General features: G+C 37.5%; 1 protein-coding gene across 123 annotated transcripts in view; it reads right to left on the reverse strand.

Moving 5' to 3' along the window:
- Positions 1-14,788, reverse strand: part of UTY (ubiquitously transcribed tetratricopeptide repeat containing, Y-linked) — a 246,776-nt gene that overhangs the window by 205,241 nt on the left and 26,747 nt on the right. For 120 of the 123 annotated variants that reach the window (NR_174404.1, NR_047627.1, NR_047602.1 and 117 more), the window contains one exon: positions 9,882-9,931. The exons of 2 other annotated variants lie outside the window; for them this stretch is intronic. Coding sequence is in view for 66 of the 121 variants with exons in the window: in XM_011531448.4 (XP_011529750.1) it covers positions 9,882-9,931 (50 nt within the window). In the remaining 55 variants the exon portion in view is untranslated. Of the gene's footprint in view, positions 1-551; positions 632-9,881; positions 9,932-14,788 lie in introns of all 123 variants that reach the window. One more of the 123 variants, NR_047632.1, reaches the window with a different exon arrangement.

The raw sequence follows: 14,788 nt of genomic DNA on the forward strand, positions 1-14,788 counted from the left end.
GAAATAGGCAGACAGACAAGCAAGGCAGGCAGCTATGGCAACCGCACCACAGGAAGAAGCTTTAATGTAAGTTACCTCTTTTCCCAAAACCATTACCTTTAGAATACAACTAGGCTCAACCCCATGAGAACCCGATGGTAGATTTTACTTAGTTACCCCATGTAAGAGGACTAAAGTATTTATTGGTCTTTGTATGCACCTATCCTGGGTGAGTAGCTTTCCCCACCCAATCTGAAAAGGCCCAAGAAGTAACGTGGGCATTACTAGCACATATTATCCCCAGGTTTGGGGTGCCTTTGACTATCGGGTCAGATAATGACCCAACATTTGTCGCTGAAGTTGTTCAAAACTTATCCCAATTATTAAAACAAGATGGAAGCTGCACACTGCGCACCATCCCCAGAGTTCAGGACAAGTTGAAAGGATGAACCGGACAATAAAGCAACTGTTTAAAAAGTTCTGTCAAGAAACCCACCTAAAGTGGGATCTGGCTCTGTCCATGGTTCTCCTTTGAATCACATGCACCCCAAACAAGCAAACTGGATACTCACCCTATGAAATTCTGTTTGGAAGGCCTCCCCATCTTATTTTCCAAATTAAAGGAGATCTCAAAGAAGTACGGGAACTAACACTGAGAAAGCAAATGCAAGCTTTAGGTACAGCCGTGAGAGAAGTTGCAAAGCTGGGTGCAAGAAGACTGCCAGTAGGCCTAACTAGCCCAGTTCACCCATACCAACAAACCCAGGGACTCTGGCTGGGTCAAAAACTGGTACCTATCCACATTAAGGCACATATGGAATGAGCCCTTTGTAGTAATCTTATCTACCCCCACTGCTGTTAAGGTTGCTGAAGTGCTTCCCTGGATCCATCATAGTGGGTTAGCCAGCTGCTGCCTAGGATGTGTGGACCAGCCAGCCAGACCCCGACCAACCCACCAAGCTAACTCTAAGATGAGGTGCCAACAGAGACCAAACCCAGACCAGCCGACCTCAGACCCAACTGTTAATGAAAAATCGCCAAGCCCTGCTGTAGTCACACAATAAGAAGCTGACTACTCTACACATGACCAAAGCTTGAGGAGTGTTCAATAGATAAGTGGATATGGATAAGTAAGATATGGACTGATATTTCATAAGTAGATAAGTAAATAAGTAGATAAGTAAAGTAGTAAATAAGTAGATGAGTAAAGTAGATATGGACTGATATTTTAATACCTATTGCTCTTCTAGTAATATTTGCTGTACTATTGTTATACTGCCATTGTTGCCAACCCTTGCTTTCAGGAAGAAACATACCCTGCCTGTGCCTAGTGTGAAGATGTTACTCTCTGTTTTGCTTATATTAACTAATATGTCAAACTTACAAAGGGGGCGGAAATACAATTGAGTTTTCTCTGTGCACCCACACTACTTGGGCAAGGAACACACAGGTTAAAACCTTTATATATCAAACCCTTTATAAGCAAACAGGAGCTTCTCTAGGAATTTGTGTACATAACCAGACTACTTATTCAATGTGTGATCTTGGTGATAATCAGCCCTGTGTCTGCTATGACCCCAAACTTCTACCTGGAACTTGGTTCGACATTAGTGAAAGGTCTGAAAAAGGAACTCTTTAAAATTCAACCTGGATACCCTCCACCAATAAACACTGTGTGTATCTGTATTTAGATGCCTGCCAGATTACAAGAACACTCCTTAAAACTGGCTGCTACATTCCTGACTCCAAAAGAAAGTTGACTGTAACCAGTCATATCCCATACTGGATTAGTGATACTCCACAGTCTCAAGACATACATTTCTCCAGAAACCTCTCCATAGATTGGTATAACTATGACAATTGTGTAAGAGGAAATTCCTGTAGCCTCACTGAATTTCTTATTTCAAATCAGATTCACCTAATTGGGCAATAGGCACTGAAGTCCCAGAGGGATACAGTGATGAAGCCACAGAATAGGAGGCAGATCCTAAGCTAAAGAGATGAGGCATTAAATATTCCAGGGTGCAGGCTACCGACAGCACCATATATTTTTATATTATACCATTATATATTTTATATTATTTTATTTTATATTATCAAAAAGACTCAAGCTCACAAACCTCAGCAATGATTTAAAATTTTCAAGTCATTCAGTGAAGAAATTAACCAAGTAGTTTCTGAGCCATCGTTTACCACTAAAAATCTGTCTGTGCAATTAGCTAAGAATATAGCAGGAAATCTAGGAGTTACCTCATGGTAACTGACATGGAGGATAGATGGCATTGGGAGGCAAAAGAATTGCTTCCCCAGGACAACTACACTTTAATTTTCTCTGCCACAAATGCTCCAGAATTAATCCCTACTGGCTCTAGCACTTGGCTTTTAAAGGCTTCTATTACAGGAAGACACTGCATACCTCGTTGGGGGACTACCTATACACACCCAGCAGGCAAATTAGCTTGTTTAGGGCAACAATACTACAATGAAACTACAGGAAAAACTCCATGGCAAAGAGAAAATAAAAAGGGTAAAAACAGTTCAAGGCCATCTCATTTCATCCCATTTTCTAGGTTCCCTTCTTTAAATCACTCTTGGTATCAACTAGAAACACCAAACACATGGTAAGTGCCTGTAGGCCTCTACTGGATCTGTGGTCAGCAAGCCTACAGGCGGTTGCCAGAAAAACGGACAGGAGCTTGTGTATTAGGTGTTACTAAAACATCGTTCTTCCTGTTACCTTTAAAGCAAGGAGAAACTTTAGGGTATCCTATTTATGATGAGCCTAGAAGTAAAAACAAAGGAGCAGTAAAAGATATAGAAATAGGGGATTGGAAAGATACAGATTGCAGAGAGAATAATGAATTATTATGGCCCAGCCACCTGGGTGCAAGATAGATCATGGGGATACTGTACTCCCATCTACATGATTAATCACATCATTAGGTTACAAGCAGTATTAAAAATTATAACTAAAGAAACAACTAAAGCTTTAGATTTATTAGATGTACTATCTACACAGAATGAGAAATGCGGTTTATCAAAACAGACTGGCATTAGATTATCTGCTGGATTCAAAAGGGGTCTGTAGTAAATTTAACCTGATTAACTGTTATTTAGAAATTGATGACAACAGGTAGGCAGTTATGAAATCACTGCCAAACTGAGAAAGTTAGCTCTCGTTCCAGTACAAACCTGGAAAGGTTGGACCCCAGACTCTCTTGGTGGATGGTTTTCATCTTCTGGAGGATTCAAGACTCTCCTTGTAAGTGTAATACTTCCATTAGGCAGCTGTCTAATACTCCCTTGTTTATTGCCTCTCCTGTTTAGGAAGATACAGTCCACTACACCACCCCCCAAATAATGGCACTAAGTATCAGCCATTACCCAAAGAAATCTCATCTCATGAGAAGGTAGAGAATTATGAAACTAACATAGGTTTTCTCCAAAGTAGTTTCCTTTCCCATGCCTCACCCTCTTTACGTTCTACACGGATTATAAAACACACATGTATAGGTATGGGATAGAAGAGCTAGGCTTTAAACATCATTTATAAAAATAACTTGCTGAAGTTTAATCTGACTTCTACTTAGGCACAGGCAAATGATGCCACAGAAAATACTAAGTTCAGCTCCTGGCTGACTTACTCGTGCTTCTCTCTAGAGAAGACACCAAAAATCATGCCCCCCAGGTAGGTGGCTGGTTAGTCAATGATGGGGAAGATTCCCTGAAAGATAGGAACAATCTAAGAAGACAGGCACAGCCACAGGGAGGACAGCAAAGGCTGAGAAAAATTAAGCCAGAGAGCCAGTGTGCTCCCACAAAGAAGAAAAGTGACGCTAAGAGCAGATACACCGGCAAAGTAACTCCCCATGCAAACAGATGAATTGCCTTTTGACAGGCCTTTGACTCTGTCCTACCATCCTAGCTGCATGTGCATCATCAGGAACAGGTAAAAGCTTTCTAATAATAGTTTCTTTTAAAAGAAAGCTTTTAAAGGGGGGAATGTGGAAAGAAAATAAAATAAAATAAACAATAAAGTTGAAAATAATAAACATAACGTAGGTAATAGTTAACATTAAGTACAGGTTACACATAGGCTAAGAAATTTAAGTAGCCCTTCCCGGCATTGCTAACAAGTTGCAGCTGCGGGCTTATCTCAACCTTCCAAGCTTATCGCCTGCCTCCAGACCCCCGCATATTTCTGTCATTCCTGTTTTCCCTTACCCCAGCTCTGTCCAGCTTCGAGGTTGACTGGTCAAGATAACTAAATTGTAAGCTTTCTCAGAATTGTCACAGGTTAAATAATTTACTGTCTTTGTCTGAAATGGGTATCCTGCCTTGTTTTCCCACCTCAAATGACATATAAGCAAGCCTGCATTCTTTGTCAGGGTTGGCAGCCATTTTGGGTGTGAGCCTGCTGTTGGCCCGGGTGCCCAAATTAAATAAAGTTCTCTTTGGTCTCCAAAGGTCTCTTTGTCTTTCTTGGCTGGAGTTTTACTGTGACATATGATCACTGGGTCAACAAAGATATTAACATGAAAGTAAATTTTTTGAAACAGAAAAAAATGAAACACACTATACCAAAAGCAGTGAGAAGTGAGACACAACAAAAGCAGTGTTAACAGGAAAATTTACAGCACTAAATGCTCACCTTCAAAACATAAATAGTACAAATTACGAATCTAATGATGCACCTCAAGAAACTAGAAAAGCAAGATCACACTCAAACCCAAAACTGGCAGAAGAAAAGACCAGAGCAGCATTAAATGGAATATAGACTAGAAAAACTAATTACATTAAATGGAATATAAACTAGAAAAATGCACGACTAAAATTGTATATGTGGGTGTGTATGAGCTCTTAAAAAACTAATTTTCTTGGCCAGGAGCGGTGGCTCAGATCTATAATCCCAGCACTTTGGGAGGCCAAGGTGGGTGGACCACTTGAGGTCAGGAGTTTGAGACCAGCTTGGCCAACAAAGAATCAACAAAACAAAAAGTAAGGGAGAGACCAGAATAAATAAAATAAGAAATGAAAAAGGGAACCTTATAATTGATATCACAGAAATACAAAACATCATCAGAGACTATTATAAACTACATACTCAAGAACTTGAAAAGCTAGAGAAAGGATAAATTCCTGTGAACATACAACCTACCAAGATAGAATCAGGAACAGGCATCATCAGAGACTATTATGAACAACTATATACTCAAAAACTTGAAAACCTAGAGAAAGGATAAATTCCTGCAAACATACAAACTGCCAAGATAGAATCAGGAACAGTCAGAAAACCTGAAAAGACAAATAAAAGTAGTGAAATCAGTCAGTAATTACAACGTCTCCCAACAAAGAAAAACACAGGACCAGATGGATTCACAGCCAATGTCTGGGAAGTTTGAAGCTGAGGAAGGTGAATGGATGATGAGAAATGAGTTAATGGGTGAAATGTACATTATTTGGGTGATGGATAACATGTTAAATGCCCTAACTTGAATGCTGTGCAATCTATGCATGCAACAAAATTGCAAATGAACCCCATAAATTTGTACAAATAAAAAAAAGCATTAGTACTAATCCTTCACAAACTCTTTCCAAAAATTAGTCCACTTTCACTAAGGGACAGAACAATTAGGCAAAAGAGTAATGAAGGATACATTAAGACAACATTTTGAACCAACTATACTTAACAAAAATCTATGTCACTTCACCAACAATAGCAGGATATACATTCTTCTCAAGCACACAAAAACAGCTCTTGGACCAGGAGCGGTGGCTCACACCTGTAATCCCAGCACTTTGGGAGGCCAAGGCATGCAGATTACGAGGTCAGGAGATCAAGACAATCTTGGCCAACAGGGTACAACCCTGTCTCTACTAAAATACAAACAATTAGCTGGATGTGGTGGTGCACACCTGTATTCCCAGCTACTTGGAAGGCTGAGGCTGGAGAAGCCCTTGAACTCAGGAGGCAGAGACTGCAGTGAGCCAAGATCCACCTCTGCTTTCCAGCCTGGCAACAGAGCAAGACTCTGCCTCAAAAAAAAAAAAAAAAAAGAAAAAAACCAGCTTTTGAACAGTCCCTATGATAAGCCATAAAACAAGGCTTAACAGTAAAGTTTTTAAAATAATATATATATATATATATATATATATATATATATATATTCATAAAAAGTATCTCTTGTGACCATGACAGAATATACTAAGTAATAAAACATGGAAAATTCACAAATTGTGGAAATTAAACACACATTTGTGAATTTGTGTGTCTCAATTTCCAGTGAGTCAAACAAATCAGTAAATACGTCATAAGAATTAAAGCTAAAATACATCTTCACAAAACTCATAGAAAGCAGCTACAACAATGCTCAGAGGGCAAATTACAGGTATAAATTCCATTGCTAAAAAGAAATAAATCCTACGAGTAAACTACTCTAAAAAAAAAAACAGCAAACTAAATGCAAAGCATGTTAAAAAAAAAACATAGATGAGTAAAAATTTAATAAAGTATATTATCATCTGCAAACACAGATAGTTTGACTTCCTCTCTTCCTATTAGGATGCTCTTTATGTCCTTCTCTCCCCTGACTGGTCTGGCTAGAACTTCCAGTACTGTGTTATCAGTGGTGGTAACAGCAGGGCATCCTTCTTCTGGTTTTTTTCAAGGGAAATGGTTTTAGCTTTTGCCCATTTGATGTGATGCTGGCTACGAGTTTATCACAATGGCTGTTACTATTTTGAGGTAGATTCTGTCAATGACTCATTTGTTAAGGGTTTTTAACATGAAGGAATTTTGAATCTTATCAAAAATCATTTCTGTTATCTATTAGAAAGGAATTGTGGTATAAATATACACCATGGTATATACTATGCAGCCATAAAAAGGAATGAGATTATGTCCTCTGCAGAAACATGGATGGAGCAGGAGGCCATTATTCTAAGTGAACTAATGCAGCAACAGAAAACCAAATACATATTACTAACTTGTAAGTGGGAGCTAAACATTGAGTACATATGGCCACAAAGAAAAAAACAACAGACACCTGAGCCTACTTGAGGGTGGATGGTGGGAGAAGGATCAAAAAACTACCTATCAGGTACTATGCATATTACTTGGGTGACAAAATAATCTCTACACCAAACCCCTATGACACTCAGCTTACCTATATAACAAACCTGCACATGTACCTGAGCCTGAAAGTTAAAAAATAAAAAAAACCCTAGAAATTAGTGTAAATTTGTTATTTCAACTGTAACAAAAGTACAATACTTATACACTGACAACTAAAAAACATTTGATACAAATGTTAAAAGTTCCAAATAAATAACAAGAGGGCTGGGTATAGTGGCTCACTCCTATAACCTAGTTTGGAAGGTCAAGGAGGGTGGATTGCTTGAGCCCAGAAGTTCAAGAACAGCCTGGGTAACAGTGTGAGATAGATAGATAGATAGATAGATAGATAGATAGATAGATAGATAGATAGATAGATAGATAGATAGATAGACAGACAGACAGACAGACAGGATGTCATTTGTTTATATCATTTAATTATAAGTGTTCATGGGCTGTACCATATAATACTGTTAAGATGACACTACTCTTAAATTTGAACTGCATATCATAATCCCTGGTGGCTTTTGGCGCAAACACAAAACTGATCCTGTGGAAAATACAAGGTACCTAGAGGAGCCAAAATAACTTTGCAAAAAAGGAACCAAGGTGAAAAAAATCATACTAACCAGTCTCAAAACTTACTACAAAGTTACACTAATTAAAATATGGTAGCACTACAACGACAGACATATATCTAAACTAGAACTTGAGTCCAGAAAAAACTAAAAAAAAATTTTTTTTTTAAATTATTGCACTTTAAGTTCTGGGATACATGTGCAGAAGGTGCAGGTCTCTTACACAGGTATACATGTGCCATGGTGGATTGCTGCACCCATCAACCCATCATCTACATTAGGTATTTCTCCTAATGGTATCCTTCACCTACCCAACCCCTGCCAATTCCCTGACAGACCCCAGTATGTGATGTTCCCCTCCCTGTGTCCATTTGTTCTCGTTGTTCAACTACCATTTATGAGTGAGAACATGTGGTGTTTGGTTTTCTCTTCTTGTGTTAGCTTGCCGAGAATGATGAAAACCTTTAACATTTATGGTAAGTCTGAGGAACTGTCAGAGCCAAAAGGAGCCTAAAAGAAAGACATGAGAAGTAATAATGCTATATTCAGGATGGGATCCAAAACAAAAAAAAATTAGGTAAAAACTCCAGAAATCTGAATAAAGAATGAACTTTACTTAATGCTAATTCATCAATATTGCATAATAAACTTTAACAACACATGTACCAGATTAATATAAGATGTTATCAATAGGGGATTATGTATAGACACACTGTGGTATCTTTGAAATAATCTTGCAAAGCTAGAACTGTCAATAAAAAATAAAGTTTACTTTGAAAAAATGAAGATAATGATTAAAAGTGATGAAAAACATCGACTAATATGTCTTAAAAAGCTTGGTTAAATTCTGAGCAGAAAAAGTACAAGGAGATCAGAAAATGGTGGAATAGAAAGTCCTCTGTTCACATACCCCATAGCAGCAATAACTTGGCAATGATTCACAAGCGAAAGTGGCTTTGTGGGAGCTTTGAATTACAGGTAGAAGACAGCAAAACTCTGAGACTAAGAACTGTTTTGCAAAAGCAGGCCCGTGCCCAGGTGGCAGTTTTGCCAACAAGGTCCCCAGCTATAGTCCTATCACCCTGTAGCCTCAGTCATAACAACACTGAATAGCAACGATCCAGACACTATACCAAGGGACACAGATGCCACACCATGCCTTGGGTAATGTACTGTAGTTTTATTTTCTTTTATTATATACCTACAAGTGGAATTGTTTGACAAGATAGTAACTTTGTGAAAAGCTGCTAGGTTGTTTTCTAGAGTGGTTGCATCATTTTACATTCCCATGTCAACATTTAAAGATCTGTTTCTCTATATCCTAGCCAACACTTGCTGTCTTTTAAAAAATTTTTATAATCCTAGAAAATATGAAGTGGTCTGCAGTTTCGATTCTCATTGTATTCATGACTAATGTTTGAACAGCTTTTTGTTTATTGGCCATTTGTAAATGTTTATTTTTGAACAAATGTCTATTCTGATTATTTTTCTTCTGTTATTTCTTGAGTTGCAAGAGTTTTAAAATATATATGTCTGGTTATTTGATCCTTACATGATTTGCAGATGTTTTCTTATTCTTTTGAGTTGTCTTTTCAGTTTTGATAGCATTCTTTGAAGCACCATAGATTTAAGTTTTGATGGATTCCATCAAAATTCGTCCAGAATACACAAATATATAGAAACAGAAATGAAATTAATGACTGCTTAGTGCCACGTTAATGGAGGGAAACAGAAGGGTACAGTGTTTTATTTTAATATCATGAAAATGTTTCAAAATTAATTGTGATGGTTGGACAACTCTATGAATACATTAACAATTACTGAATTGTACACTTTAAATGAGTGAATTCTAAGCTATATATGTATTATACGTCCATAATGTTTTACCAAAAAATAATAAATCAAAATAAATGCTTATCAATATATGTTTTGGAACTAAGTAGATTTCATTTTTAATTACATTTCTTTCCCACTCAAGTAATTCATGAAAGCCAGAAATAATTTTATTTATATTAGGAATCAACACATGGCCTTTCAAAGTCTGTGACTAAAACAGGACTTTCCCTTTATCCACATTGTACTATCTATGGCTAATCCTCATAGCAGTTACAACTAACAGTAGTATCATACATCCTATGACAAGATAAATGTATTTTGAGTATGATCTGCCATAAAGGAAATAAAAACTGGCATTGAAAATTTGTACCAACCTTCCAGTAGTCAGCCTGTAAACTGTAATATCTCTGATATGCAGATAATGCTGGAAAAGAAAAAATAATTATTAGCCAAATCATATCCCATTTAAAAATCCACTGTAAGACATTAAATTGATATTTTAATATAAGCTGCCAAACATGCCCATCTGTTAACAAACAATAAAAATGAAATAACCTAAATTTTATGGCTTACTAATTTAATCAGGTATATAAAACCATGATCGAATCTCACCCATGTACTCAAACCAACATAGTATCTTAGCAATTACTTGAATCAATTTGACCTCCTTCAGGGACCAAAAGTAATGGCAATCTTCTAGAGGTATTCCCTACTATGATAAAGTTTTCTAATTTTTCTTAACATGCAATTCACTTTCTAGAAAGATAAAAATTCAGTCACCTAAGGCACAAAATAACTTTGTGATGCTTCCCTTTGCACAATCAGTAGACTACTATTATCTATAGTTTAATTCCAAGTTAGGATGCCTTATGCCCTAAAACCTATCTAAAAGCAAAAAGAGTACTCAAATCATATAAAGTAGTTGTTCCTGACAGCCTAAAAAAAGGCACATAAAATAAAACCACAAAATAAAAACATAAAAAAGAAGTCGTATAAGCACATTAGAATTAGTGGAAACATTAATAATGACAAAACTAGGAAAACTCATCACTTTATCCAATCAACTCAGAATCTCTGAAAAACAGCTAAGCAATGATTATATTCCTGGGGATAGGCTTTCAGGATAAATTATAGCACTGAATATCACCCAAAGTCAAAAATAAATTGAAAAAAATGAAAAAAAATTAACTGAAAATAGCAGAATGCCAAAAGTGGCAGATTGAACATATTGTTATATGCGGAGGATTCTGTCTTGAACAATCATTTTTAGAAATTTCAGAGATTTTTACAATAAAAATGTAAACGTTAGCTGAAATGCTTCCACTGAATTTAGCTACAAAAAGTTAAGGTGTGGGGGTAAGCCTATTGAGGAAATCTTGCTTTTTTCAAACAATCATAAAAATGACAAGACAGAATTTTAAAAGAACCAAATTTAATGCTCAACAGACAGTAGCATATATAAGAATCATCTCACGATATAGGCTACATTTCTATAACTAAAATATTTACTTTCAAAACGAAAAAGTGTAAAGGAGTGACATCCAAAAAAGTAGCCTGAAAAGATCCATAGACACTTTCTCAAGAAAAGCAGACTTAAAGTCTCTCTATAGCTGTCTTAAGGGTACTATTCAAATGGAGAAAATTTTACTAAGAAAATAAACTAAGTTCTCAGCAAAAAACAGTGAAAATCTATCGTATTGTAGCCTGAACTAATTCTTTCTGACACCATTCCTACTGTACCCCAGCTCAGTAAGATAGGACCACTAGACCCACCAAAATGAAGTGTTCTTTCTTGCACAAGCTCCTGTTTTAGGGCTAGGCTAACACCTCAACAGATGTAGGCTACCAACATTTCCCCTACTCAGCTCAGTATTGCAGAAACTATATTAAAAACAAGCATGGCCAGGCGCAGTTGCTCACGCCTGTAATCCCAACACTTCAGGGGGCTGAGGCAGGTGGATCACGAGGTCAGAAGATGGAGACCATCCTGACTAACACAGTGAAACCCCATCTCTACTAAAAATGCAAAAACTTAGCCGGGCGTGGTGGCACGTGCCTGTACTCCCAGCTACTCGGGACGCTGAGGCAGGAGAATCACTTGAACCTGGGAGGCGGACACTGCAGTGAGCCAAGTTCGTGCCACTGCACTTCAGCCTGGATGACAAAGCGAGACTCTGTCTGAAAAAAAAAAAAAAAAAGGGCAAATGACAAGACGAGAGGCTGCTTTGCTCTCCCATGCCCAGAATGGCTAACTGAAAACTCTAATCCAGTTGCAACAGACCACGAAAGTACTGATGCCCAACAGCCCTTGACCCAAATAACTCTGGGTAGACTCCATGTAAGAGAGGCAAGCAGACTAAAGACTATAGCTCCTGCCCAGTACCTGCTCCTAAAACACAGGGATCATTTCAAGAATAGTGGCCATTATCTCAGGCTCCAGCCCTTGAAGAGCAAAGGTTCAACTCTAGTGGAAAAAATAGTCTTAAGATCATGGAATGCAGTAATTGCTCTTCTAGTGTGAATTTATACAGAAAGCATTTGGGGTTGTTCAAACCCATAGAAAACATGTAGATTTTTACAGTTAAGTGTCTAGTAGCTCCAAAATAGCAAGTATCTAAACTGCAGACTGGCTAGAAGTTTTACAGAGAGAAACGGAGAGAAAGAATCTCCTGGGTTAGTAAAGTCCTGGAAGATAGACCTCAAAAAGCGTTGCGCAAATGAGTAATGCAGGATACCCTTCAGCATAAACACTACAAGTAACAACTGTCAGAAAAAAAAAGAACGGAAAAAGGAACAGAAAGCCTGAGGAATACCATAGTGGTAAATTCCCACCAATTTACAGGTTATGTTTTTCCCTTTCATCCTACATTTGAAACTGAAGAAGCCACCATTCCAGAAGCATCAAAAAGAATGAAGGAGGGCAGGGTGGTACTAATCTCCCTAATCAAAGGAAAATGGCAATCCAGCAGGACAGAAAACTTAGAACGGGATCTGTGTACTGTAAACAGTACAGAAAAAAGTTCCCTCAAACCACCTACTCTACACAAAGGCCAAGTAGAAAGCACAGACATCTATCATATATCAGGCTACCTATTGCATTAATGTGAGAGGAAGCCAAGTAGGGAGCAAGAAAAGAATTTATCTGATGGCTGGTAGTGAGGCTTACATGTCCTCTGATGAAGGTAGCCTAGATTTCACACTCACGTGGCAGAAACAAGCTGTCTGCACGTTAGTGGAGTGAGAGCACCCCAGTGGAAGTCAGGATTTTAACCACTGGCCAGTAATAAGGAAGACTGGAATAATAATGGAAACCATGTGGGAAGCCAAAATTCTCATTTCAGTTCAACATTAGCAAAAAGCCTAACTCAGTAATCTGAACTTTAACATTCACCTAGCAGTAAGAGACAGCAATACCGTTTACTGTAGATTAACGTAAGATCCACCAGCCAGGTGCAGTGGCTCATACCTGTAATCCCAGTACTTTTGGGGGCCGAGGTGGGTGGATCACTTAAGGTCAGGGGTTCCAGACCAGCCTGGCCTATTAGCATAGGGAAACTCCATCTCTACTAAAACTACAAAAATTAGTGAGGTATGGTGGCACATACCTGTAGTTTCAGCTACTTGAGAGGCTGAGGCATGAGAATCACTTGAACCCATGAGGCGGACGCTGCAGTGAGCTGAGATAGCACTACTGCTGGGCAACAGAGTGAGACTCTGTCTGACAGCGTTAACATAAAAACTTCCAAGATCCAGTCAAAAATCATTCACCATATCAAAAAAAAGAAGTATACCACAATGAATGAAAAAGATGGGAGAAATGTTTGAATATATGATAAAAATTTTTAAACTGGAATAAAAGTGCTTCAAAGAACAATGAAAAAAGGAAAAATTGAAAGTCACAGTAAAGAAACAGAAGCTATAAAAGGCAAACCAATGTAAACTTTAGAACTTATAAATGAAATACTCAAAATAAAGAGCTCAGCTCATAGCCTTGGTGGCACAATGCACACAGAAACATCATTAAACTAGAATACAGAAAGATAAAAAACTATTCAATCCAAACTAACAAGAAAAAATAAACTAAGGCAAGAGAAAGAATGGAGGCTCAGGGATTAGTAGGTTATTAACCAGAGATCTAAGTGTCATCACACTCCACAAGGAATGAAGAAAGAACCAGACGTAAATGTACTTAAAAGATAGGTATGAAATTTATCCAAATGTGAGTGAAAAAGAGATGTGGATGCTAGCCACAACAAAGCCCCTACATCCTTCAAGGGTCCTCAGACTAACGGGACTTCCTGGAGATCAAGCAAAGGCATTGCTCCAGAGAGAGAGGTCACTTTCGGACCAGTGCACTGCTAGAGCACTAAGCAATGGCAAGTAGCTAAAACAATTGTGAAGAGCAATAAACTCCGATGACTCACACTTCCCAGTATCAAAACTTCCTACAAAGCTATTATAATCAAAACAGTACAGCTAACATAAGGATAGAAATAGAGACCAATGGTAGAATAGAGCTGAGAACCTGAAAATAATCTTTACATATATGATCAATTGATTTTTTCACAGAATGCCTAGTTCACTCTTGAAAGGGCAGTTCAATTTTCTCATGCAAAAGAATGAGGCTGGTCCCCCAACTCACATAATATACTAAATGTAATTAATTCTTTATTAAATATAAGAAGTAAAACCAAAGAAATCTGAAAGAAAATATAAAGATTCTTCATGTTCATGAACACAGCAACAGAGAGGACACCAAAAGCATGAGCAACTAAAGATGAACTGAACTTGATCTAAATTAGAAACTTCTGTGCAAAGCACATTGTTAATAAAATGAAACAAAAACCTATACGATGGGGGAAAATATTTGCAAATCATATGTTTAATCAAACTTTATTTTCGAGAATATACAAAAAACTCCTAAAACTCAGTAACAAAAAGACAAGTAGCTCAACTAAAAAAATACATAAAGAATCCGAACAGATATTTCTCCAAAGATACATAAATGGCCTATGAACACCTGAAAAGATACTCAACATTGTTAGTCATTAGGGAAATAATGCAAATCAAAACCTCTATGAGACTATCACTTCACACTGTAATAGTTACAATGGGAGGTGTGGGGAAATAGTAAAAAACAAGTGTTGGCAAAAAACTGGAAGTCTCCTCCTTCAATGGCAAGATAGTAATAATGGGTACAGCATCTGTGGAAAACAGGTTTTCTTAAAAAAAATTACTGCTTTTTCAGTAATAAAAATAGCAATTTCACTCCCAGCTAACT

This window comes from Homo sapiens, chromosome Y (genome assembly GCF_000001405.40).
Source record: "Homo sapiens chromosome Y, GRCh38.p14 Primary Assembly".
Taxonomy (NCBI): domain Eukaryota; kingdom Metazoa; phylum Chordata; class Mammalia; order Primates; family Hominidae; genus Homo; species Homo sapiens.